Source organism: Homo sapiens, chromosome 5, assembly GCF_000001405.40.
Source record: "Homo sapiens chromosome 5, GRCh38.p14 Primary Assembly".
NCBI classification, from domain to species: domain Eukaryota; kingdom Metazoa; phylum Chordata; class Mammalia; order Primates; family Hominidae; genus Homo; species Homo sapiens.
This window is the reverse complement of record NC_000005.10, coordinates 131,224,783-131,252,737: the sequence shown is the minus strand read 5'-3', so window position 1 is coordinate 131,252,737 and position 27,955 is coordinate 131,224,783. Positions and strand designations below refer to the sequence as shown.

Below are 27,955 nucleotides of genomic sequence, written 5' to 3'. Positions count from 1 at the left end.
GTGCATGTGGGCCCAGATGATGCTGGACCTGCAAAAAGAGGCACTAGATCATGATAAGGAGTTTTTTGTTGTTGTTGTTTTTGAGACGAAGTCTCGCTCTGTCACCCAGGCTGGAGTGCAGTGACGTGGTCTCAGCTCACTGCAACCTCCACCTCCCTGGTTCAAGCAATTCCCCTGCTCAGCCTCCCGAGTAGCTGGGATTATAGGCACACGCCACCACGCCCGGCTAATTTTTTTTGTATTTTTAGTAGAGACGGGGTTTCACCATGTAGGCCAGCCTGGTCTTGAACTCCTGACCTCAGGCAATCCACCCGCCTCGGCCTCCCAAAGTGCTGGGATTACAGGCGTGAGCCACCGCAACTGGCCGATAAGGAGTTTGACTTTATTTAGAATATGATAATGAGCCAGGCAGGAGGACAAAAGGTACTAATGATGTTGCTTTAAGAGTAGATGTTGCTTTAAGAGTAAAGTTCAAATATATGAACATATGCTTAATGTATCATACAAAACCTTTGAACTTTAAAATAGTCTTGCTTTACTTTAATTAATTATCCTTGATAAGCTTCTTGTAACCTTCATTCATAAAGGATAGTATGTGAGAACCTGAAATTATAGTACCTACATGATTCCTTCCTTCCTTCCTTCCTTCCTTCCTTCCTTCCTTCCTTCCTTCCTTCCACTCATTCTCTTTTTCTTTCTCTCTTTTTTTCTTCTTACTTTTTTGAGACAGGGTCTTGCTCTGTTGCTCAGGCTGTAGTGCAGTGGCACAATCATGGCTCACTTCAGCCTTGACCTCCTAGGCTCAAGCGATCCTCCTGCCAACTCAGCCTCCCAAGTAGCTAGGATCAGAGGCGTGTGCCACCATGCTCAGTTAATTTTTATTTTTTTGTAGAGACGAGGTCTCACTATGTGTCTAGGCTGGTCCCGAATTCCTGGGCTCAAGTGATCCACCCTCTTCGGAATCCCAAAATTCCGCAATTACAGGCACAAGCCACCATACCCAGCCCCTGGTTTATTTTTTATTAATTGGAACAGTTTTATACTAGCTGGAGTTATCTCCTTAGAAGAGTAATTGCACACATATGGGATTCAACCTGGGCAATGTTATTTCCATGTGGCAGTCTGCTATTCATGTACTGTTTTCCAGACAATTTTTTTTCTTTTTTTAGTTTTGCTTTCTCTCACAATATAAAATTGCATATTCTATCTTACTAAAAAGCATGTTAAATGCAAAGATAAAAATATAAGAACCTGTTAGAAGAGGCTGATGACTTAAAAGAGAAAGGAAATTAACTTACTTGATGTTAACATTTTGGCTGTTTGACAAGCTGATATCAGGGAATTTTCTAAATGGGGAAAAGATGAAAGTTTTCTTGAAAATGATTACCTTTAGTAAAAAGAATTATCTCCACAGTGATTTCTTGGTGTAGAAGAGAAAGAATTCAAAGAGGATTATTATGCCCTTCTACTCCAGTCAAGACCTGCCCAACATATTCTTTTGCGCACTACAAAAGCATTTCAGTTCTACTTTCATATTCTGTTAACAGATAAATTGTAATTGAATAAAACAGATACACAAAATGTTAAGTCATTTATTTGTTATTGCTAATCATTTCTTAGCTTTGTTTTTATATAGTTTTATTGTATCTATATATTCTTTTAAAATACATTTAAAAAATTTAAAATTAATGAAATTTTTAAAAGCAGTTTTAGGTTGACAGAGTGGAAAGTACAGAGAGTTCTCATATAACCCTACTTCCCTCTCTGTCCGTCCCTCCAATTCCCCCTTTTGTTGACATGCTGGATTCATGTGGTATATTTGTTGTAATTGCTGAGCCAATATTACCATAGTATTTTTTAAGAGACCCTGGGATCTTGCTCTGTTTACCAGGCTGGGCTCTAACTCCTGAGCTCAAGCAATCCTCCTACCTCAACCTCCCAAAGTGCTGAGATTACAGATAGAGCCACCACGCCTGGCCCAAGCTATAGTTTTGTTAACTAAAGTTCATAGTTTTTACATGAGGGTTCACTCTTTTTATTATATGTTTTGTGGGTTTTGACAAATGTGTAATGACATAGTATCATCCAGAATGGTTTCACAGCCCTGAAAATCTCCTATGCTCCACCTATTCATTTCTTTTTCACCTTCCCACCTCCCCCTACCCTGGCTCCACAGTCCCTGGCAACCATTGATCTTTTTACTGTCTCCACAGTTTTGCCTTTTCCAGAATGTCATATATTTGGAATAACAATATGATTTTCAGATTTACCTATTTCACTTAGCAATATGTATTTAAGTTTCCTCCATGTATTTCTGTGGCTTGATAGCTCATTCTGAAATTGTTGTTTCCTCTATGTAATAGTGTAGAACCTATTCTTTTCAACTAACATGTGTCAATATAAGTTCACATTGTTGCTGTCTCTGTAAATTACTTATTTTGATTGTTGTATAATATTTTCTGTTGAAATGTACCACAGATTATTTATCCACTCTCCTGTAGATGGGCATGCATCTGGGTTGTTTCCAAGTTTTTGCTTTTGTAAAAAGTGGAGCTATGATTGTCCTTTTACCTGGTGCCTGTTGTATATGTGCAAGAGTTTCTCTTGATGTATACCTAACAGTAGAATTGTTGACTCATAGGGTATATGAATATTCAATTTGGAGTGATAATGACACAATTTGCCAATTTGCATTTTCTGTTTTTGTTGTTGTTTAGTACCCATTATGCCCCAGAACCAACTTTCATTTTCATAAGCAATGGATCCACAGCCTTCCCAACACTTAGCACAGACTCCTTAAGTTGCTGCCTTTTGAATAAACGTAAAATGATATCTCCCTATGCTCTTTTTTTTTAGAGACAGCATCTCACTCTGTTGTCCAGACTGGAGTGCAGTGGTACAATCATAGCTCACTGCAACCTCGAACTCCTGGATTCAAGTGATCCTCCCGCCTCAGCCTCCTGAGTACCTAGGACTACAGGCATGCACCACCACACCCAGCTAATCTCTGCAGTCCTTATTTGCATTTTTCTGATCAATAAAGCTGTCGAACAAAAGTTCTCAATTTTAATATTGTCTAGGAGATGTTAATTACAAAGAGTTTTTAACTTTTGTTTTTGACAGTAAAGTCATCAAATCAAATGGAGGAGATTTTGTATATAGTGCCAGGTAGGAATCCAGTTTCTTCCTGCTATATTTATTAAACAGATCCTCCTTTCCTCATTTTTCTGACATGGCATCTTTATCATATATCAAACATTTATGTGTGGGTCAGTTTCTAAGATATCCATTCTGTTTCATTGGTTAATTTATTTTTTGCTGCACCAATCCCACACCATCTTATTAATTTTAGTTTCATAATAAATATTAATAGTTACTGGGACAAATCCTCTCTCCCTGATACTTCTTTAGAAATAACCTGGCCGGTCGTGGTGGCTCACGCCTGTAATCCCAGAGCTTTGGAAGGCTGAGGTGGGCAGATTGCCTGAGGTCAGGAGTTTGTGATCAGCCTAGTTAACATGGTGAAACCCAATCTCTACTAAAAATACAAAAAACAGCCAGGCGTGGTGGTGTATGCCTGTAGTCCCAGCTACTCGGGAGGCTGAGGCAGGAGAATCACTTGAACCCAGGAGGCAGAGGTTGCAGTGAGCCAAGACTGCACCACTGCACTCCAGCCTGGGCAACAGAGCAAGAGTCTGTATCAAAAAAAAAAAAAAAAAAAAAGATGTAACCTGGCTATTCATGGACACTTATTAATCTTCAATATATATATTTTAGAGTAATCTTATCAAGTTCCATTAAAGCTCTTGTAGGAATTTTAATTGGAATTACATTGGGTATTTTGATAAATTTGGGGACAATTGATACATTCATAATAATAAGTCTTCCTACACATTAACACAGGTACAGCTCTCCATTTATTCAGAACTTTTTCGTGTTTCTTAACAACGTTTTATAATAATTTTCCGTAAAGAGGTCTTGGCTAACTTCTGTTAGATTTATTCCTAGATAGTTGATATTCTCTGATATTACTGTAAACAGTTTATTCTCTTTATGTTTTCTAGTTGTTTGTTGCTAATATGTAGTAATGCAATTGACTTTTGTTTCACATCAGATATCTTGTTAATTTGAAGATTATTTGGGGTTTTCTAGGTAAAGAATCATATCAACCACAAATACAGTTTTATTTCCTCCTTGCCAATCCTTATGCCTCTGTACTTGTTAGGACCACCAATGAAGATTAAACAGAAAAAATGACAGGGGAATCTTCATCTCATTCCTGTTTTAAAAGGGAATGCTTCTGCCGGGCATGGTGGCTCATGCCTATGATCCCAGCACTTTGGGAGGCCAGATGGGCGGATCACAAGGTCAGGAGTCTGAGACCAGCCTGACCAACACGGTGAAACCCCGTCTCTACTAAAAATACAAAAATTAGCCAAGCATGGTGGCATGCGCCTGCAGTCCCAGCTACTCAGGAGGCTGAGGCAGGAGAATCGCTTGAACCTGGGAGGCAGAGGTTGTAGTGAGCTGGGATCGCGCCACTGTATTCCAACCTGGGCAACAGAGTGAGACTCCATCTCAAAAAATAATAATAAAAAAATAAAAAAAAGGAATGCTTTTAATATTTTCCCATTTAGAAGGATGTTTCTTTAGATTTTCTAGTATAGATACTCTTAATCAAGTTAAGGAAGTTTCCATCTATTTCTAATGTACTAAAATTTTTTAATTATTTAAAAAATTGTAAATAATTTTTAAAATTATGAATAGCTATCAAATTTTGTAAAATACTTGTTTTATGGCTGGGCATGGTGGCTCATGGCTGTAATCCCCAGACTTTGGGAGGCCAAGGCAGGAAGATCACTTGGAGCCTGGATTTCAAGACCAGGCTGGGAAAACAAAGAAAGGACCTGTCTCTACAAAAAGAAAATTAAAAATTAGCTGGGCTTGTTGTGCTTATAATCCCAGCTACTTATGAGGCTGAGGCGAGAGTATCACTTGAGCCCAGGAGTTCCAGGTTACAATGAGCTATGATCCCGCCACTGCACTCCAGCCTGAGTGAGAGTGAAACTCTATCTATACAAATAAATAAATAAATAATTGTTTTACATTTTTTTTTTCTGAGACGGAGTCTTGCTGCGTCATCAAGGGTGGAGTGCGGTGGTGCATTCTCAGCTCACTGCAGCTTCCACCTCCCGGGTTCAAGTGATTCTCTTGCCTCAGCCTCCCAAGTAGCTGGGATCACAGGCGCCCACCACCATGCCCAGCTAAGTTTTTTGTATTTTTAGTAGAGACAGGGTTTCCCCATGATGGCCAAACTGGTCTTGAACTCCTGACCTCGTGATCCACTCGCCTCGGCCTCCCAAAGTGCTAAGATTACAGGCATGAGCCACCTCGCCCGGCTGTTTTACATTTTTAATATGATCATACAGCATTTCTATTTTAATCTGTTGATGTGACAAATTATATACATACATTTTCTAATATTAAACTATTGGTTGTAGGATATTACCTTTTTAAAATACATTGTTGGATTTGATTTGCTAATATTTTGTTTAGTGTTTTTGCAAAAATACTAAATACTATTTGTCTCAATAAAAGGTACTACTAAAAACCTAGCAAGAGACATAGAACAAAAGATTGAGGAAAATCTACAAAATGAAATGGAATTAAAGCAAGTATTTAAGAGGATTGGTGCACTGGGCATGGGGGCGCACGCTTGTAATCCCAGCACTTTGGGGGACTGAGGCAGGCAGACCACCTGAGGTTGGGAGTTTGAGACCAGACTGGCCAACATGGAGAAACCCTATCTCTACTAAAAATACAAAAATTAGCCAGGCATGGTGGCACATGCCTGTAGTCCCAGCTACTCAGGAGGCTGAGGTAGGAGAATCTCTTGAACCCCGGAGGCAGAGATTGTGGTGAGCTGAGATCACGCCATTGCACTCCAAACTCTGTCTCAAAAAAAAAAAAAAAAAAGGATTTGAGTGAAAAATATAGGTATGGAAGATAAGAAAAGAGATCCAACATATGCATAATTGGTGTCCTCACAAACATGGACCCTCACCCACCCTGAAAAAGAACCATCATACGTATTTAAAGACGTAAATCAAGAAAAATTATTTATCCAGATAAAAGGTAACCTAACTCTATTATGGACCAACCTACATGAAACATATCCTAGCAAAAAAGTTATTGAATGTCAAAAACCAAAAAAACCTGGCAAAAATTTAAGTCACAAAAATTGTGTCTGTGATTTCTTCTTTTTATTTTATTTTATTTTTTTGGGACAGAGCTTCACTCTTGTCACCCAGGCTGGAGTGCAATGGTGATCTTGGCTCACTGCAACCTCTGCCTTCTGGATTCAAACAATTCTCTTGCCTCAGCCTTCTGAGTAGCTGGGATTACAGGTGCCCACCACCACTCCCAGCTAATTTTTATATTTTTAGTAGAGAAGGGGTTTCACCATGTTGGCCAGGCTGGTCTTGAACTCCTGACCTCAGGTAATCTGCCTGCTGCAGCCTCCCAAAGCGCTGGGATTGCAGGCGTGAGCCACCACACCCAGCCTGATTTTTTTATAGCCCTGACTAGAAGTCAATAAAATAATATCCTCAAGGAACCCAAAGTCCTCAGGGAAAGAAAGCATGACTCAACAATTTTATGTCCAGTTAAATTGTTTTTCAGGTATAAAAGTAATAGAAGTACAATTCTCAATATGAAAGAATTCAGGCAATATAACCCCTGTGAGTTCTTCTTGAACAAACTACTTGAGGATTTACTTTCAGCCAAGTGAGAGATGGAGAAACTGCAGCAAAAGGACAAAATGTGAAGTATTGAATTCATTTAGCTGTCATAGACTGTAAAATAGACTATATAGACTAAAACAATAGACTAAAATAAAAGTCAAGTTTATGGTTAAAGATAAAACATAAATGTCATAAATTCTGATGTTCAAGGAATGTTACTTTTAATAAAAGTAGAAACAGGAAGAAAAAAGAAGGTAAAGGCTCAAGTAACTTCAAGTAATATGATTAAGAAAATTCATCTGACACTGGGATTTTTAAAGAAGCTCTCCAGGTGATTCTAATATGCAGGAGAATTTAGGCACCATTACATTATGAGAATAACATTAATTACTCACCTGTTTAAGTCCCAGTGAACCATGGTAAGCCACCAAACACTGTTAACTTCTATCAGCCTTCAGAACCCTTTAACTAGACCAGGGGACAGCAGTGTGTGACAACTGGTATGTTAAACATTATGTGAGAAGACTAAGTATTTTTTTTTCTTCTTCTTGGTATGACACATTGTTTCAATGTACAATCTTGGTAAGAACAGGCTGTTCTTGACTATGAACCTGGTCAATTGTTATAGCAATCACCAACAAGGGTTACATTGAATAAACCCAATCAGTATGTCAGTACCCAGAACAGTATCAATTATGGTGACTGACAAAAGAACAGTAGGCACAGCACAGACTAAAAATAAATAAATTAGAAAGCAAACACACCAAAACCCGAAAATAACCACTTGTAAGAGCTGGTATCTAGAAAATTCAAGAATGTTTGTTGCCTCCTCCTTGGGAGAAGTTGGGGACCAGCTCCCAGACATTATCTTTGTCTTTTCTTTCCTGTTTTCATAATTATTTTCTGATTCCATTCTGGGTTTTCCCACCAGTCTATTGGTTGGTTTGTGGATTTGCTCCCATAAGGCCAGCTGCAATTCTGAGCAGCCACTGGTAACCACTATCTTAGCTTTGCCATTACATTTTCTTTGTATACTTCAGGAACAGCTCCTGCTGTCCCTTATCATGATTCCCCCCAGTAATTTTCCCGCAGTAATTCTGAGTCCCCCAACTTCAGCCATAAAAAATACACATTTTCAAGTTTGTTTGTTTTTGCAGTGAATCCACCCCCCTTCAGAGTGATCTGCATATTTTTAATTTTTGAGGGCTGGTGGGCCTTGTTGCTGTGACCTAACCCAACAGGTCTTGGAGCATATTCCTCAGCAGCCCCTCTTTTTTTTATTTTGAGATAGGGTCTCACTCTGTTGCCCAGGCTGCGGTACTGTGGCATGATCTCAGCTCACTGCAACTTCTGCCTCCCGGGTTCAAGCGATTCTCTTGCCTCAACCTCCCGAGTAGCTGGGAGTACAGGCATGTGCCACCATGCCCAGCTAATTTTTCTATTTTTTGTAGAGACAGGGTTTCACCCTGTTGGCTAGGCTGGTCTCGAACTCCTGGCCTCAAGTGATCCACCTACCTTGGCTTCCCAAAGCGCTGGGATTACAGGTGTGAGCCACTGTGCCCGGCCTGAAGATGTTTTTTGTGTGCTTAAAATTGAACATGTTTTCTGCAGTTGAAGTTACAGTGTTCCCCATATGTCCATTAAGTCAAGTTTGCTAACCATATTGTTCAAATCTTCTTTATCTTTTCTGGTATTTTGGGTCTTCTTATTCTATCAGTATTGAAAAAAGTAGATTCATATCACCCACTATGATTATAATTTTGTCTAATCGTATTTGTAGTTACATTTATTTTTGCTTTTTAGATGTTGGGGCCACTTTATGAAGTCCATACAAATTTAGAATTATTCTGTCTTTCTGGTGAATTGGACCTGGGTATTTTATCATTGTGGAATGGTTTTCTATCTCTAGTACTACTTTTTGTTTTAAAGCCTGAAATTATTAAAGCTACATCAGCTTTCTTATGATTAGTATTTGCATGGTCAAAGTTTTTCCATTCTTTTGCTTTCAACTTCAGGATCTTCACTGAAAAAAGTGAGAGTTTACTGAATTCTAATTTGACAGCCATTCTATTGTCTTCTGGGTTCCATTGCTGTTGCTGGGATCTAACTATGGCTCCCTTAAAGGTATAAACTGCAGATATGAGCCTGGGCAGCAGGAATTTCAGCTCAGACAATTCATCCGCTTTCTCACAGACTGAGATTATGAGTCTGCTGGGCTAAATCAGAAGTTACTTTACAAGCAACTTTAAATTTGTATTGAAAACAGAACTTCTCTATTTTCACCAATAATCATTGTTTTAGGAATGACCAAATTCTGAGACCAGGATTGGCTACATAATTTGTAGGGCCCTGTGCAAAATGAAAAATGCAGGGCTGCTTGTTTAAAAATTATTTTACTTTATTTTTTTTGAGACGGAGTCTCGCTCTGTCACCCAGGCTGGAGTGCAGTGGCGCGATCTCGGCTCACAGCAACCTCCACCTTCCGGGTTCATGCCTTTCTCCTGCCTTAGCCTCCCGAGTAGCTGGGACTACAGGTGCCCACCACCACGCCCGGCTAATTTTTTGTATTTTTAGTAGAGATGGGGTTTCACAGTTTCACACTTTAGCCAGGATGGTCTCGAGCTCCTGACCTCGTGATCCACCCACCTTGGCCTCCCAAAGTGCTGGGATTACAGGCGTGAGCCACCGCGCCCGGCCAAAAATTATTAAGAATATCAACTTGGCAATAGCAAAACATTAAGCCTAGTGCAGGGTCCTGTGCAACTGCACATATTGCATACCCATGAGGCTGCCTGTGTGAGAGGGACTATGCTTGCTGAACTCATCTGCACAAATGGACTTATTTGTTCCATTAGGACTGCAGTGAAATTCAAAAGGAAAGAAAAATACAAAAAATGAGTCATAAGATTACTCAAAGATTTCATTTTAGAGGTCCACTGTCCCTAAAAGGACTAAGGATGAGTAAGTGCTTATTGCTCCAGGAAGTTCTCAACAGTTCTGGGATCCTTTACTAGTAATTTGCATGATTGTAAGAACTAGGCTTAGATAATTTCCTAACCAAAAATCAGTGCCCTGTGCCCTTTGTTCACAATGTTGACATGACCAGTATGACTGATACACCACCTCCCTTGAACCTTCTGGGAGGCTTTTCTCAGTGTATAGTTCAGGCACCATTACTTACCCTAGAAAAATGAAGACTACTGCAACTAGAAAGAATCTTGGAGTGTTGGCCAGCATCCAGTAAGAGGTTCTTAGACCAACATAGCCACCTAACCTTTGAATCCTGGCTGCCTGAAATTTTTGGTTACGTTAAAAAATGATCAAACAAGAGCATACATATTAAGTAGCTCCTGTCGTATAGGTGGTGGCTGCCAGAACTTGTGGACAGATGTGATAGAAATGAATTTTTTAATTATATAATTTTGAACTATTTAATTCAGCTAAAATGACACCAGACCCATTTGATGAATAAAAAGATTGCATGAAAAAAAGGAGTCATAAAATTTTAAGAAGAAATGGATAACCTTCTTGCAAACATGAAAACTTTTTCTAGAGAGAATATATAAACAAATGACTTCTTATGATTCTCAGCTGTTGACTTCAGAAGGCCACTTATTCTGATTATAATAAGCAAGCAGAATGTCAGAGATGAAAGGACTCGCTTTTGTTCAATTTACTACAAACGTCACCACTTGTAAGAAGGTAGTACTGAAGCAGAAGGAAAAAAGAATCCAGAATTCAGTTCTGTTTTCTGAACATTTTCTCATGTTTTGGTTTGGTAAAGGACAACTACTACCCGTCCTTTAGATTTCGCTGTGGAAATAATAACTTAGATGAAACAAATGCATACCGGCAAGTAAATAATAGTTGTGTGATGTATGCCTGGAAGAGTATCAAGCCAAAATAAAATTCAGATATCTGATAAGATACCAGGCTTTCATTAGGTGGGGCAAATGAATAGCAATACTATTATTCATTCATTCAACAAATGCTTATTGAATTTTTACCATTTGTCAAGTGGCAAGATAGTGAAAAATAAAAGATTTTTATATATACAATCTTGCATATATGTAATCTATTATATAGAAGATTGCATAATATATATAGTACCAGAGATTAAAGAAAGAGGAAAAAGGCAGGCAAAAGGACTAGGAAGTGGACAGGGGTTAAAATTTTAAATAAGGTGGTGGTCAAGGTAGACTTCACTGAGAAGATGACATTTGAAGAAACGCTTGAAGAAGATGCAGGAATTATGAGAGTTTGAGTGTTTGTGTATATGAAGAGATTGAAGATAAAAGAGAAGAAATCAATAATGGAAGAAAGTCTGGGAGGTGAGAAGGGGGTGAATCAAGGGGTGTAGGCAAAGGGGGTGTGCTCAATAAAGGGGAAAGACAATTCACTTTCTGAGATCAGAGAAAATGACCTAAACATGAATTAAGAGTAAAAGGGCAATTGTAACTTGTTGACTTTTATACAAAGTTAAGGTCATATTAGCAACCTTAAATCCTGTGGGATGTGATGAAGTCTAAAGAAATAGTGATGATAATTAATAGAAAAAAGAAAGGTAAAAATATATAACTTTGAGGCCTGAGGTATAGCATAAGGAAAAACAAGCTTACTTTAGAATAATGCCCGGATAGGTTCAGTGTTTAATAAATTATTATGACAGCTTATAAAGAAAGCACCAAGCAAAATAAGGCCATGACTTTATAACCATGAAAAAAACATAAAACCGCTGGGCGTGGTGGCTCACGCCTGTAATCCCAGCACTTTGGGAGGCCGAGGTCAGGAGATCGAGACCATCCTGGCTAACATGGTGAAACCCCTTCTCTACTAAAAATACAAAAAACTAGCTGGGCGTGGTGGTGGACGCCTGTAGTCCCAGCTACTCAGGAGGCTGAGGCAGGAGAATGGCGTGAACCCAGGAGGCGGAGCTTGCAGTGAGCCGAGATCGCGCCACTGCACTCCAGCCTGGGCGACAGAGCAAGACTCCGTCTCAAAAAACAAAAACAAAAACAAAAACAAAAACAAAAACAAAAACAAAACCCATAAAACCATCTGAAGGAAATTCAGGAAACTAAAGTTATCCACCATACACCAGAAATGTATCATCGATAAACACTGGTCCCCAGCAATGAAACCAAAAATGAATTAGATTATGGCATATATTTTTCATTTTCTGACAAAAGAGTGTTTCCAAAATCACTGATATGAGCACACTGTTTTCCAGAACTAAGCTTTGGGACAAATTCACCATAAGCCCTTTTATGTTTAAAAGCAATTGGGAATATAACATATATTTTTACCATGATTTTATTAAAACTGGGGAATTGCTACTCAAAACTTTATAAACCAGAGGCTGCAACATCAAATCATGGTGAACAAAGGTGTAGGTCACTTATTCTGTGATGATCTCACAATGCAAGGATGTTTACTCTTGGAGAAACTTGCTTAATATACCCCGACGCGTTTGTGTTTTGTTTGTTTGTTTGTTTAACAAAGAAACTTGCTTAAGTTCTGAATAAAATCTACCTGAAGCTCAAAGCAGAAGGCTAAGAGTTATGTTTGGTTTCACCTTAATATTATAAATGCACTTTTCTGATATCTTTTATAAGGTTCTAAAACAAATGGACAGTAGATATTAAATGTAGTTTGACAGGTAGCCAAACAAAAATAAACATACAGAGAAATGTTAGGAGAGAAACCCAATACTGCTATATTTATGAATGAATGACTAGAATGGAAATGTAGTTTAGATTCTGAGCTAAGACAAAACATAACAAAAATTCATGAATTTTTAAATTTAGAAAACTGTTGCATAAAACATGGAGAAATAGTTAAAGTCTGTAACTGAGCCTATAAGAAAGACAGAAAATTCCCTGGTGCCAGAAATTGCTGATAACTGATTTCTAGAGTGGAAAGTGTATGAACTGATACTAAGATAGATTACTGGATACAAATGTTCACCCCAATAGCCAGAGGGTGGGGTTTAACAATCAAAGGAGAACATAAAATATAGTCTTGACCCTTCTAAAGCAGGGATATAAAACTGATACTTCCTTAAGAAAGCAATGATCTAATGAAGGAGTTCCCCTCTAGGAAAGAGGAATAGAAAAACTGTCAGATAAGAGTCAAGGAAGCTCGCTCTAAGCTGGACTCTGTTTGGGATAGAGATCCCCTTCCCCAAATGAGAAACCAGACTTAAAGTTAAGCTTCTTCCAGATGAGGAATCTGAATTTATTCTACCCCTATGGTGAGGGAAGTCCAAGCTGAGGCATTAATATTAAAACTGATGCAGGACCCCAGTGAAAAATACCTAGGGTGCCTGGCAGAAGCAAACACAAAACTGCTCTATAAGGTTGTTCTTTCAACAGTGGTCCATGAATTTTACACTGAAGCTAGGTTCACAATAAAAAATGGCAAAGTCACTCAAAATACACAATAAAAAAACAACAAAACATATAAAATTAGATTACAGTCCCTCCAAACACAATAAACAGGAGGATAAGCAACCTTAAGGCCTTGAGTTATAGAAAAATATTTCTTTTTTTCTTTTTTGATACAAGGTCTCGCTCTGTTGCCCCGGCTGGAGTGCAGTGGTGTGATCATGGCTCCCTGCAGCCTTGACATCCTGGGCTCAAGTGATACTCCCATCTTAGCCTCCTGAGTAGCTGGAATTACATGCATAAGCTGCCACGCCCAGTCAGAAAATGTTTCTGAAAAATAATTATCTTTCAAGTTATTAAAAAGATTTTAAAAATTTTGAAAAAATAATAATGTTTTTAATATATATATATTTCTTTCTTTCTTTCTTATTTTTATTTTATTTTTTTTTGAGACAGAGTCTGTCTCTGTCGCCCAGGCTGGAGTGCAGTGGTGCAATCTCGGCTCACTTCAACCTCCGTCTGTCTCCTGGGTAGAAGCGGTTCTCCTGCCTCAGCCTCCTGAGTAGCTGGGATTACAGGCGAGCGCCACCATGCCCAGCTAATTTTTGTATTTTAAGTAGAGACGGGGTTTCACCATGTTGGTCAGGCTGGTCTCAAACTCCTGACCTCGTGATCCACCCGCCTCAGCCTCCCAAAGTGCTGGGACTACAGCCGTGCCCGGTGTAATAATAATTTTTAAAGATAAAAAGATTAAAGAAAAGACAAGAATCAAAATTATAGGATAATGCGTATGAAAGACAACAGACAATTTTGATTTTGAAAAACATAAAATTTCTAGAAATTAAAAAATGTTATTTGAATTGAAAAATTCAATGAGCTACTTATTAGAGTACAGATTATACACACCTGAAGAAAAAAAAATAGTAAAATGGAAGCTAGAGAAAAATAATATTTTTTAAGGTTTTCTTTTCTTTTCTTTTTTATTATTATTTTTTTACTTTAAGTTCCGGGATACATGTGCAGATTGTGCAGGTTTGTTATATAGGTATATATGTACCATGGGCTTTGCTGCACCCAACAACCCATCACTTTTTTTTTTTTTTTTTTTAGACGAGTCTGGCTTTGTCGCTCAGGCTGGAGTGCAGTGGCACGATCTTGGCTCACTGTAAGCTCTGCCTCCCGGGTTCACACCATTCTCCTGCCTCAGCCTCCTGAGTAGCTGGTACTACAGGCGCCCGCCACCACGCCCGGCTAATTTTTTGTTTTCGTAGTTTTAGTAGAGACGGGTTTTCACCGTGTTAGCCGGGATGGTCTCGATCTCCTGACCTCGCGATCCATCCGCCTCGGTCTCCCAAAGTGCTGGGATTACAGGCATGAGCCACGGTGCCCCGCCCCCGTCATCTAGGTTTTAAGCCCCACATGCATTAGGTATTCGTCCTAGTGCTCTCCCTCCCCTTGCCCTCACCCCCGAGAATTTATTTAGATGCATCATGCAGTGGGAAAGGATGAAAAATACTATTGAGAGGTTCTGAAACATGAAGAATAAACTGATAGGCCCAATATATGTCTGATAGTGGTTCACAAAGAGTAGTAAGAATGCAAGACAGCCTATATATAAAACATAATGGCTGATAATTTTCCAAAGATTATGAAAGAAGTAAATTCCCAAATAGAGGAACACACTGAGAATAGAAAAGAATAAATACAAGTAAAATAAGGCAATGTGCAATGGCTCACACCTGTAATTCCAGTGCTTTGGGGGGCCAAGGCAGGAGGATCATCACTTGAGGCTAGGAGTTTGGAAGAAGCCTGGGCAATATAGCGAGACTCTGTGTCTACAAAAAAGAAAAATATTAGCTGGGCCATGGTGGTGAGCGCCTACAATCCTACATAGTCCTAGCTATTCAGGAGGCTGAGCAGGAGGATTGCCTGAGCCCAGGAATTTGAGGCTGCAGTAAGCTATGCTCGTGCCACTGCACTCCAGCCTGGTGACAGTGTGAAACCCTGTCTCAAAGATAAATAAAAATAAAATGAAAGCAAAAAAAATGTGATGTATGTATGTCCAAACACATCACAGTGATACTACAAAATTCCTAAAAAAGAAAGAAACTCTTAAGGAAACCTTGAGAAAATATGGACGTTGCAAAATACCTCAGATATAAAGAAAAATCAGAAAGGCAACCCAGAAGAACAATTTCACTGAAAACAGATACATCAGTAGCAACTACAGAAATCAGAAAACAAAGAATAATTATTTCAAGGTGCCGAAGGGGGAAAACAAACATCAGCATAGAATTCTGTATCAAGTGAATCTATCATTCAAGAGTGAAAGAGAAGTAAAAAGATTTCAGACAAGCTGATTGAGGCAGTCTGCCTCTTAGACTTTTTCAGAAAGAACTTTCTTAATAGAAAGAGAAATGAATTAAGGAAGAGTGGGATGCAAAAAACAATGATGATCAAAGGATTTTTAAATATTGACTTAATTAAACAACAATAAAATGACTAAATTTGGTTTAAAATGAGGTGATCCCTGCTGTCTCCCACAAACAATTTTATTTTTTGAGAACTAGATGAGCTTATTTTAAAGTTTATGTGGAAAAATAAGCCAGAATAGTTGGGAAAAAATATGAAATAGAGGAGTAATGAATGGGAACTCTGTCTATAAGCTATTAAAACATTTTATAAAGATAATTAGGGTAATGTGGTTTGGGCAGGTAGAAAAACAGACAAATAAGTGAAATAATAGAAAGTACAGAAATTGTAGTAACATATATTGAAATTTAGTTTATAGTAAAGGTCAGACTTAAGTCTTGTGGAAAAGACAGATTAAGCAATTAGTACATTAGAACAACTGGTAGCTATTAGGGAAAGAAGTAAATTTAATCGGTTGAGTGTGATGGTTCACGCCTATAATCTCAGCATGAGAGGCCGAGGTGGGCAGATCACTTGAAGTCAGGAGTTCAAGACCAGCCTGGGCAACATGGTGAAACCCCATCTCTACTAAAAATACAAACTTAGCTGGCCTTGATGGTGCACTCCTGTAGTCCCAGCTACTCGGGAGGCTGAGGCATGAGAATCAACTTGAACCTAGGAAGCGGAGACTGCAGTGAGCCAAGATCATGCCACTGCACTCCAGCCTGGGCGACAGAGCAAGACTCCGTCTCAAAAAAATAATAATAATAATAAGTAAACTTAACCTCTATCTACCTCAAACCCCAAACTAAAATAAAACCTAAGTGGATCGAAGATTTAAATGTAAAAAATTAAACTATGAAAATACTTCAAGAAAATATGGAAGAATATTTATTAAAAATCGTGAAGTGATGAAGGCCCTTCTAAATCTGACAAAAAATGCAGAAACTATAAAAGAAGCTATTGCTAAACTTATTACACATCAAATTATGCAAAAATTCCTGAAGGGAAAAAAGCCAAACAGACCCATAAGCAAAGTTAAAAGACAAATGACAATCTGAGAAAAAATACTTGCAATTAATATGATAAACACAAGAAAAAAAGCTAACAATTCTATAAAGGAAAGGACATACGATGTGAAGTGACAGTTCACAAAGAAGGAAATAACAATGGTTCTTAATATATGAACACATATAAAAAACGGTTTTTAACTTAAGTCATAATAAGTGTGATGGTTAGTTATATGTGTTAACATGACTGGCCTAAGGGACGCCAGATAGCTGGTAAAATTATTTCTGGATGGGGCCGGGTGCGGTGGCTCACACCTGTAATCCCAGCACTTTGGGACGCTGAGGCAGGCGGATCCACCAGGTCAGGAGTTCGAGAGCAGCCCGGCCAACATAGTGAAACCCCATTTCTACTAAATATACAAAAATTAGCCGGGTGTGGTGGCACGTGCCTGTAGTCCCAGCTACTCGGGAGGTTGAGGCAGGAGAATTGCTTGAACTCGGGAGGTGGAGATTGCAGTGAGCCGAGACCATGCCATTGCACTCCAGCCTGAGTGACACAGTGAGACTCTGTCTAAAAAAAACAAAAACAAACAAAAATAGGCCAGGCACAGTGGCTCACACCTGTAATCCCAGCATTTTTGGAGGCTGAGGTGGGTGGATCACAAGGTCAAGAGATCGAGACCATCCTGGCCAACATGGTGAAACCCCGTCTCTACTAAAAATACAAAAATTAGCTGGGTGTGGTGGTGTACACCTGTAGTCTCAGCTACTCGGGAGGCTGAGGCAGGAGAATCACTTGAACCCAGGAGGCAGAGGTTGCAGTGAGCCGAGATCATGCCACTGCACTCCAGCCTGGCTACAGAGCGAGACTCTATCTCAAAAAAAAAAAAAAAATGTCTGGATGTGTCTGTGAGAGTATTTCTGGAAGAGATTAGCATTTGAATCAGTAAACTGAGCATTTGAATCAGTAAACTGAGTGAAGACTATTTGCCCTCACTGGCCAGGCGCGGTGGCTCACGCCTGTAATCCCAGCACTTTGGGAGGCTGAGGCAGGCAGATCACGAGGTCAGGAGTTTGAGAACAGCATGGCCAACAAGGTGAAACCGCTTCTCTACTAAAACTACAAAAAATTTAGCCAGGTGTGGTGGCGGGTGCCTGTAATCCCAGCTGCTCAGGAGGCTGAGGCAGGAGAATCACTTGAACCTGGGTGGCAGAGGTTGCAGTGAGTCGAGATCGTGCCACTGCACTATAGCCGGGCGACAGAGTGAGACTGTCTCAAAAAAAAAAAAAAAAAATTTGCCCTCACCAAGCATGCAATCTGCTGAGGGGCCCATTGGAACAAAAAGGTAGAGAAAAGACAAATTATTTCTTCTAAACTAGAATATCCATCTTCTGCTGCCCTTGGACATTGGACCACCAGCTTTTCTGGTTCTTTAGCTTCTAGAAGGCAAGAACTTTTTGGCCTCCATAATTATTGCATGAGCCAATTCCCATAACAAATCTTCTCTTTATCTATCTATCTATTTTTCTTTTTTTTTCTTTTTTTTTTTTGAGACAGAGTCTCACTCTGTCACCCAGGCTGGAGTGCAGTGGCACGATCTTGGCACACTGCAACCTCTGCCGCCCAGGTTCAAGCAATTCTCCTGCCTCAGCCTCCCGAGTAGCTGGGATTACAGGCGCCCGCCACTGCACCCAGCTAATTTTTGTATTTTTAATACAGACAGGGTTTCACCATCTTGGCCAGGCTGATCTTGAACTCCTGACCTTGTGATCCACCTGCCTGGGCCTCCCAAAGTGCTGGGATTACAGGAGTGAGCCACTGCGCCCGGCCTATCTATCTATCTATGTATTTATCTATCTATCTATCTCCTATTGATTCTGTTTATCCAGAAAACCCTAATAAGATAAGAGAAATGCAACTTAAAACTTCAATAAGATGAATTCTTTACCTATCTGATTTGCAAACAACAAATGTTTCTAATCATTGGCAAGGATATAGAGAAATCTTTTTTAAAACAATTATTTGTAAAAATTTATTCAGTGAGTTTGTAAGGTGACTAGATAGGGAAATGCTAGTTGCTGCATCAAATAAACTTCGTCATTTCATTTACTTAATACAACAGAATTTTTTTTTCTTGCACATATAATAATCTAGTGCCAGATTTCCTAGTGGTAAGAGCAGGTAAGGAAAGAGGAAAAGGTAGGGATGGAGGTCTGATCCATGAAGTCATTTAGGGACCTATAGGTTGATGGTGACTTTGTCCTCTTCAACATGAGGCTTTCAAGGTTGCCCTGAGTATCAACATCCACCAATAAAAGCAGAAAAAGTATGGAGAGGGGTACATGGGAAGTTTTAATGAGGCAGAATATAAGACGATAATGAAAGAAATTTGGAGAATTGATTGAAATTAAAACATACATGCCCTTTGATGCAGGCCCTTTAAGGAATTTATACTACAAATATACATATAGTGTGCAGAATGAGGTCTATACAAATATATTCACTAAAATATTGTTTTTAGGCCGGCATGGCAGCTTACACCTGTAATCCCAGCACTTTGGGAGGCCAGGGGCAGGGAGGATCACCTGAGGTCAGTTCGAGACCAGCTTGGCCAACAGGGTGAAACCCCATCTCTACTAAAAATACAAAAATTAGCTGGGTGTGGTGGCACATGCCTATAATCCCAGCTGCTTGGGAGACTGAGGCAGGAGAATCACTTGAACCCAGGAGGCGGAGGTTGCGGTGAGCCAAGATCGCATCACTGCACTCCTGCCTGGGTGACAGTGAGAATCTGTCCCAAAACAAAAAAATTGTTTTTAGTAGCAAAGACATTAAACAACATAAATATCCATAGTAGGTGACTGATTAAATATATTATGCTACATGCATACAATGGCCATTTTAAGAATTTTAAAACTATTGTATTATCATAAATATTTATATAAATTATAAAGAATTATAGTTATATATGTACTGATAGGAAATAATCTCCAAGAAATATTTTTAGATGGAAAAACAACATGTAGAACAGTGTGGGTCTTATGCTATCCCTTATACGAGAAAGGAAAAAATATATACAGACCCGTATGTGTTTGTATATGCACACATTACCTTTGGTGGGATATTCAAGGAGCTGGTACTAATGGTTGCCTCTGAGAAGGTGATCTTGGAAGCAAGGGACAGAGATGGGAAGAAGCCTTTCCACTGTACACCTTTTTGTAGCTTTCAAAAAATTTTTTTCTTTTTTTTTTTACTGTGTGCAGCCTAGTCAAAACATAAAATAATTAAAAATAAATTAAAATATCAGAGAACAATAATATGGAAGATGATGGGAATTAGGCAGAAAAAGCATGATGAGGATTAGTCAAAAAGAGGGTAAACACATTTTAAACTTGAGCTATTTTAAAGACGGGATAATATTTCTGTTTTGTTTTTTTTTTTTTTTTTTTTTGAGACCGAGTCTTGTTTTTGTTTCCCAGGCTGGAGTGCAGTGGCATGATCTCGGCTCACTGCAACCTCCGCCTCCTGTGTTTAAGCAATTCTCCTGCCTCAGCCTCCCAAGTACCTGGGATTACAGGCGCCCGCCAACACACCTGGCTAATGTTTGGTATTTTTAGTAGAGATGGGGTTTCATCATGTTGGTCAGGCTGGTCTCAAATCCCTGATCTTAGGTAATCCACCCGCCTCAGCCTCCCAAAGTGCTGGGATTACAGGCGTGAGCCACTGTGCCCAGGATAACATTTTAAGGTAACCACTAAAAGAATAGGTATAGGCAGGGTGTGGTGGTTCAAACCTGTAATCCTAGCACTTTGGGGAGGCCGACATGGGCAGATCACTTGAGCTCAGGAGTTCAAGACCAGCCTGGGCAACATGGAGAAACCCCGTCTCCACAAAAAACACAAAAATTAGCAGGACACAGTGGTGAACGCCTGTAGTCCCAGCTACTAGGGAGGCTGAGGTGGGAGGATCACCTGAGTTCGGGAAGTCAAGGCTGCAGTAAGCCGAGATCAAGCCACTGCCCTCCAGCCTGGGCTACTGGAGTAAGACCCTGTCTCAAAAGAAAAAAAAAATAGGTAACAAATGTACAGTAATTCTAGGGTGGGCGTGGTGGCTCACACCTGCAATCCCAGCACTTTGGGAGGCCAAGGCGGGTGGATCACTTGAAGTCAGGAGTTTGAGACCAGCCTGGCCAACGTGGTGAAACCCTGTCTCTACTAAAAATACAAGTTAGCCAGGGGTCATGGTGCGCACCTGTAATCCCAGCTGCTTGGGAGGCTGAGGCAGGAGAATCGCTTGAACCTGGGAGGTGGAGGTTGCAGTGAGTGGAGATCGTGCCACCACACTCCAGCCTGGGCGACAGAGTGAGACTCCATTTCCAAAAAAAAGAAAAAAGAAAAAAGAAAAAAAAGTATAACAATTCTAAAATAGAGAAAGGGTGAAGAAAAGTTAATGATTTCAACAGAAGGCAAAAAGGAAGAAACAAAAAGCAAAGGTAAGACTGGTAGTAATAAATTAAAATACATCAGAAATCACAATTAATGTGAACTGATTAAACTCACAAGTAAAAGACAAGATAATTTCAGATAGGCCTCTTTAGATTAACCAGCCGGCCAAACACCAGAGATATGAGAAAGGTCGTGTTAGATTAGACCATTCAGTCCCAACCAAACTGGCCCAGACCGAAAGAAACCATTCAGCCAACTCACAGAATCATAACAAACAATACATGTTTTTTTTGTTGCTTTTGCATGATTTGTTATGCAACAAAAATGATCTGATAGAGTTGGGATATTAAAATTTATTTTAAAATACTTCTAATAGTTTTATGCCACTGAATTTGAAAATCTTAAAAAAAGATAATGTTCTAGAAAAATATTAATTCCAGAAACAGATTCAAAAAGAAAAATATGAATGAAAATACAATCATTAATCTAAAACAAGTCCTCATTTAAAGTACTAGGTTTAGTGTTTTATAGGAGATTTTTAAAAAGCCAAACTTCAAATAACAATTAATCTTCCAGAGAATTAAAAAGGAGGGAGAAGACACAAACTGGTATAACTGGTATAACTTTGATACAAAATTACACAAAGACAGCAAGGAGAAAGAAAAACTAAAGGTCAATACTGCTGATAAACATTTACGTAAAATCCCTAAACAAAATGTTAGGAAATAAAATCAAGCATGTAAATACACATATAGAAAACATATACATACATGTGTGTGTATGTATGTTTATAGATGTATCATGATCAAGTAGGCTTTATAGCAGAAATGCAAAACAGGTTTAACAATGAGAAAATCTGTAATATAATTCATTATTCTCGTTAAGAGATTTAAAAAGCAAAGCTATATTAACGTCTCAATAGGTGCAGAAAACGTAAACAAACGATAAACCCCTTGGAAGACTACGAATAGACAGAAACTCCCTAATGTGAAGGAGAATACTGTGAAATTTATTTGACTTTTAGTTTTCGGTTTCTTTCCTGCATTTGCATTTTCTCTTCTCTATCACTGGAGGGCTGGAAGGCTGACAACTACATTTCCCATGTTCCCTTGCTGTGGTTTGGTTCAATTCTGTCAGTAGGAGACAATGGTGGGGATTTAAAAGGTGGCAAAGGGAGAGAATCCATTTGTTTTCTTCTGCAGCAGCCTCTAGCAGCAGAAATAGCTGTGCTGCAGCTGCTCAGAAGCACAGACTTCCTGGGCTTGGAGTGACACCATTTTTCACTTTTTTGCCCCTTCGCCTTTTCAATAATTTTGTAATTAATTCCCCGAGCTAACTTTCCTGTTTGAAATACTTAAGTGGTTTACATTTTCAAAAATTGGTTAATAATTGAAATAGGTATCCAGTAAACTGCAACAAACATCATTATGAGTGGTGAAACAGTAGAAAAATTTCCTTTGAAGACAAGTACAGGACAAAGATGCCTGCCCTTAATGCTTTCCAGTGAACATTGTACTGGAAGCCTTAGATTCAGCAATAGGACAAGCCCAAAGGAAATTATGCGAAATTAAAAGGAGGCGACAGAATTGTCATTAGAACAAGTAGGATGCTCAGCAACCTTCTAGTGCTTCTGGGTACTAGATCATTAAATAAAATCAATACCATGCTTATAAATGATATTGGAAAGGTTTTATTTCTTAAATGAAAAGAAAGGATATTCAAAGAAAACATGGTAAAATGATAGTGTTAAATCTTGGCTCTGTGTACATAGATAGATACCTGTTACAGTTTTCTTTTTTCTTTTTTTGAGACAAGGTCTTGCTCTCTCACCCAGGCTGGAGTGCAGTGGCGTAATCTTGACTCACTGCAACCTCTATATGCCAGGCTCAAGTGATCTTCCCACCTCAGCTCCCTGAGTAGCTGGGACTACAGGCTCGTGCCACCATGCGTGGCTAATTTTTGTATTCTTAATAGAGATGGGGTTTCCCCATGTTGCCTAGGCTGGTCTCAAACTCCTGGGCTCAGGAGATCCACTCACCTTGGCCTCCCAAAGTGCTGGGATTATAGGCATGAACCACTATGCCCGGCCTTTCTCTCTTCTTTATTTAAAAACAAACAAACAACCTACTTTAGGTCAGAGCTCCAAGTTTTCTTAAATTGCTAAAAAAACAATTACTGAGTAAATTAGCCAGGTGCATTGGCACCTGCCCATAGTCTCAGCTACTTGGGAGGCTGAGGCGGGAGAATTGCTTGAGCCCAAGAGCTCAAGACCATTTCAGGCAACACAGTGAGACTCCCTTCTCAATTAAAATAATAATAATAATAATAACAAAAATAAAATTACATAGTAAATTAAATTACAGGCTACAGGAAGAAATTGTATAGGGTTAATTAATGTTCAGTTTATATTAAATAAAAGAAAAATAGGCTGGGTGCAGCGGCTCATGCCTGTAATCCTAGAACTTTGGGAGGCTGGGGTGGGAGGATCACTTAAGTCCATGAGTTTGAGATCAGTCTGGACAACATAGCAAGAACCCGATCTCTAAAAACACACATACACACACACACACACACCCCATAAGGTAATTATAAGTCTATGTAGTTTTTTAAATTTCTAGGAATGAGAGCCTGGTTCTCTCCATGAGAATGAGTTGATTTTGCTCCACACAGTAGCATTCTGGGACTTCAGAAACTTCAGGATATACTTCTGAAAGAACCTCAGGATTGTATTAGTCTGCTCCAGCTGCCCCAACAAAATACCACACACTGGATGGCTTAAACAGCAGAAATTAATTTTCTCAGAGTTCTAGAAGCTAGAAGTCCAAGATCAAGATTCTAGCCAATTTAGTTTCTGGTGAGAGCTGTCTTCCTGGCTTGCAGACAGCTGCCTTCTTGCTGTGTCCTCACATGGCCTTCCTTGGTGCATGTGCTCAAGGGAGCAAGTTAGCAAACTCTCTGTTGTTTCTTCTTATAAACCCATCCTTATGGTCACATAACCTCAATCACTTCCTCAGCGGCCCCTTACCAAATAGAGCCACACTGGGAATTAGGGCCTCAACATGTGATTTGAGGGGGACACAAACATTCTGTCCATGATGAGGATATACACCCTAAAAGACGGTAAGGAGCTAAAGCTGCTGGTATTTGCACTATAGGAAAAAATAATGTAATTTTAATTACTTTTAGAGTCATGTGTCTTTTATTGCAGGGAACAGAGCCTTGAGTAACTCACATAAAGGATATAAATCTCACAGAAGTCAAAGACTGAAGCCAGAATTCCAATGGACTTCATGGGAAATTGAAAGCCATCAGGACCAGAGTTGCTCTGTGTTTACTCTTCATTTTCTCTCTCTCTCTGTCTCTCTTTCTTTCTTGAGACAAGGTCTTGCTCTGTTGTTCAGGCTGGAGTGCAGTGGCACAATCACAGCTCACTGTAGCCTCAACTTCCTGGGCTCAAGCTATCCTCCTACCACAGCCTCCTGAGTAGCTGGGACTACAGGTACCTACCACCACACCTGGATAATTTTTTTTTTTTAAACAGGGTCTTGCTCTGTCTCCCAGGCTGGAGTGCAGTGGTGCAATCTCAGCTCACTGCAACCTCCACCTCCCAGGTTCAAGCGATTCTCATGTCTCAGCCTCTCAAGTAGCTGGGATTACAGGTGCACACCACCATGCCTGGCTATTTTTTGTATTTTTAGTAGAGATGGAGTTTCGCCAAGGTCTCTACTAACCATGGACAGGGCCACGCTGGTCTCTAACTCCTAATCTCAAGTGATCTGCCTGCCTTGGCCTCCCAAAGTGCTGGGATTACAGGCATGAGCCAGTACGCCCAGCCTCCGGATGATTTTTGTATTTTTTTGTAGAGACAGGATTTTGCCATGTTGCCCAGGCAGGTCTCAAACTCCTGCACTCAAGAGATCTGCCCACCTTGGCCTCCCAAAGTGCTCAGATTACAGGCGTGAGCCACTGCACCTGGCCAAATTTCCTTTTTTAAACTTCTTTATATCACCTCCAATTCTAGAATTCTGGAAGTTATTGAACTATCCCATATTTGAAAGCCACTGGATTTCAATAATGCAAATAAACAGAACTTTTCGTTTTTATACTTGGTAAGAAATGTTGCCAAAGGATGATTAAATGTGTCAAAAATAAAATAAAATTCTATAAATTAATGTTCAATTTTAGTTTTATAAAACAAATCCACTCAATCTGACATTGAATCATGATCTACCAAATACAGAATTTATTTATTTATTAGTTTGTATTTTAGTAGAGACGGGGTTTCACCACGTTGGCCAGGGTGGTCTAGAACTCCTGACCTCAAGTGATCCACCTGCCTCAGTCTCCCAAAGTGCTGAGATTACAGGCGTGAGCCACTGTACCTCGCCAACCAAATACATAATTTAAATTTAACAGATGTAAAGTCTTTCTTCCTTATAAGACTGCATCTTGTAATTATTATAGTATTATTTTAGAGACAGGGTTTTACTCTGTCTCCCAGGCTGCTGGAGTGCATTGGCATAATCATAGCTCACTGTAAACTTGAACTCCTGGGTTCAAGCGATCCTCCCACTTTGGCCTCCCAAAGTGCTAAGATTACAGGCGTGAGTCATCACCCAGCCTTGTAATTTCTTTTAAAATGTCATGAATATTAATGATGTGATGGTGTTCCCTCTGGACTGGCCAGCTGCTGAACTGACCAGGTCATTGGTCTTCTTTATTTTATATTTATGCCTAACTATATGTAGCTAGAATCATATTAGTAACTCAGATAAGCTCTAAAATAGTCTTACTTAGTAATTGTATGAGTTAGGGTCTGATCAGGGAAGCAAACCAGTGAGAGCATTTATTTGGTAAGTAGAGGCAGTTGTGGTAGCTTTCATTTGGCCTTTCTACTATAATAACCTTCACTCCAAGAGTAAGGAAACCAATGCAGGGGTACTGGTAGCTGCTGAGTAAGTCTATTCCAACTAAACATGCCAGAATTGGATAAATAACCACAGGGTGAGTTCAACAACCTACTGAACTTGCTGTGAAGCCAATCACAGCCAAAACTTCAATAATCACCTGATCTTCATTCATAAGCCCCTACTCTGGCTGGTGGACCATAGCGGTGCTTTGGTCCTCTAGGAATTAGTGCCAGTTTAAAGCCAGTGTTCTGTAATCTCTACAAAGTTTGGCTATTCCACTTTCCCCAATGCATATCACCCTGGTAAATGAATGACTGCAGGCCCCTTTAGGGAAGGTGAGGAGGGAGATTTATGACATAAACTTTTGGCTATGTATCAGGATTATTCCTTCAGGAACTTGGCCTCCTCTTTATTCAAGGGTCTCTAAATTTGTGAATTGGTTCAAGTGTAGGAATTTGTTAAGGGGCCAAGACTATTGTGTAATTAAAGGCAGACTTCTGCTTATCAAACCTAGAGCTTTCCTGCTTATTCAAATCATACTACATACAAATGATACTAAATTGCTATACTAAAGTGAGACTTCAGTAGACTGTCCACCTAATTCAGACTTGAGACAACCATGAGCAATTAGCTAACACCAAAGATCTCTGCAAGACAATCGTTTCTGGTTACTACTTCGCTTCGCCACCAATTGTGTCAACCATACCCATCCTGTCTTTGGCAATTAAACAGGGCCAGTTGATCCTTGCTACCCCAGGACCAATTATCCTTCGGTTCCAGGTTTCAGTGAACAGCCATGGAAATGGTTAAAGCCACTTTCAGTTTCTTGAGCTAACACATCAAATCAAGAATCTCTGCTTCATGTACCCATAACAATAAATTCGGCCTGATCCTATTTTAAATTCCTTCCACCCTGATCCAACACTCTTGGGATGCCAAACATGCTCCACACATTTTTATCAATCACAATTGGTAAGATCTTACCTTTTTTTTTGGTGTGTTTAGTTCCTTCTCATAGGTCACACTTGGTAACTGACCTCCTGAGGCCTGCTGTGATTTAAATCTGGTTGTAGGTCTAGAAACAATGAGAGATAGTAGGGATAGGTCCTGAGGAGGATTTGTCTCTTACAAAGTCACTCTTCCAGGTTCTTCATGCAAGGGGAGACTGACTTTCTCAGGCAGGGAAGTAGGGCAAGCAAAGGAGCCTTGGCGGAACATAGAGGTCAATGACCAAGCTTCATTCAAATCTTTCTATAGACTCCTCATGCCAATTTCCAAAGTCCCACTTCTTCCCAATCAGTGTTGTACTTGAACAAAAGTGATCCTGTGGGGTTGTAAATTCAAATTGCCTTGTAATTCAATCACCCACAGGATTAGCCTCTGTGTTTGTTTTTCAGAAATCTTGACCTTGCTACTGTATGAGACAGTTTCTTTTAGGACAGTCATAAACAAGTATGTAGCTCTGAATGTCCCTATAACTCCCTGGCTTGTAGGTACGCATAAAATCACCTTAATATTTAGGCCTGAAATCCCGTTAGTTTGAAAGCTCTCACACAAATAACTGTACCACTCTAGACTTCTTTCAAGGTTCTCTCCTATGGACACCTCTCCAGGGTTTTTAGAGGTTGTTACATAGTGTCATGAATCAAGAGAAGCCACTGTGTGTAATGTTCCTTTGCTTTGCTCTGGGCTTCCCCTGGCTCTGGGCCACCACTTCGATTTCAACCAGGCTGCTGCTATCCTCTGAGCTTGGCTCAGGGCTCCACCTAAGCCACTGTTCACACGGCGGCCACTGCTTACCCTCTCTGCCTGCCATGCCCACCATAGCTGCTTCATGTGGACCCCCCATTCCCTGTCTTCCAGTCTGCTGCTTCTGCCTCTAGGTCCCCTGCTGGGCACCCCCACATGGGCTGCTGCTGGCCTGATGCCTTCACTCTACCCAGATGCTGCTTCTGCTTGTCCTGCTGCCTTGTCCTACTCCCTTGCCTGACCTTCTGCTTTGGCTCCTGCATCTGCTGCGGTCACCCTTTTCTCTGTGGCCATTCAGC

The 27,955-nt window shown here is 39.9% G+C and overlaps 1 protein-coding gene across 2 annotated transcripts in view, besides 1 other annotated feature; it reads right to left on the bottom strand.

The window, feature by feature from the left end:
• Positions 1 to 27,955, bottom strand: part of CDC42SE2 (CDC42 small effector 2) — a 184,621-nt gene that overhangs the window by 141,935 nt on the left and 14,731 nt on the right. The window contains exons 2-3 of one of the 2 annotated variants that reach the window (XM_047417396.1): positions 26,892 to 26,982; positions 19,664 to 19,816 (exon numbers count right to left, since the gene is read on the bottom strand). The gene's annotated coding sequence lies outside the window, so the exon portion shown is untranslated. The remainder of the gene's footprint in view (positions 1 to 19,663; positions 19,817 to 26,891; positions 26,983 to 27,955) is intronic. The other variant, XM_047417393.1, reaches the window with a different exon arrangement.
• Positions 27,808 to 27,907: an enhancer, noted in NCBI's record as "active region_23044". NCBI's record gives its function as "activates an Ori minimal core promoter by ATAC-STARR-seq in GM12878 lymphoblastoid cells {active_cell/tissue: GM12878}" and the evidence as "EXISTENCE:reporter gene assay evidence [ECO:0000049][PMID:35858748]".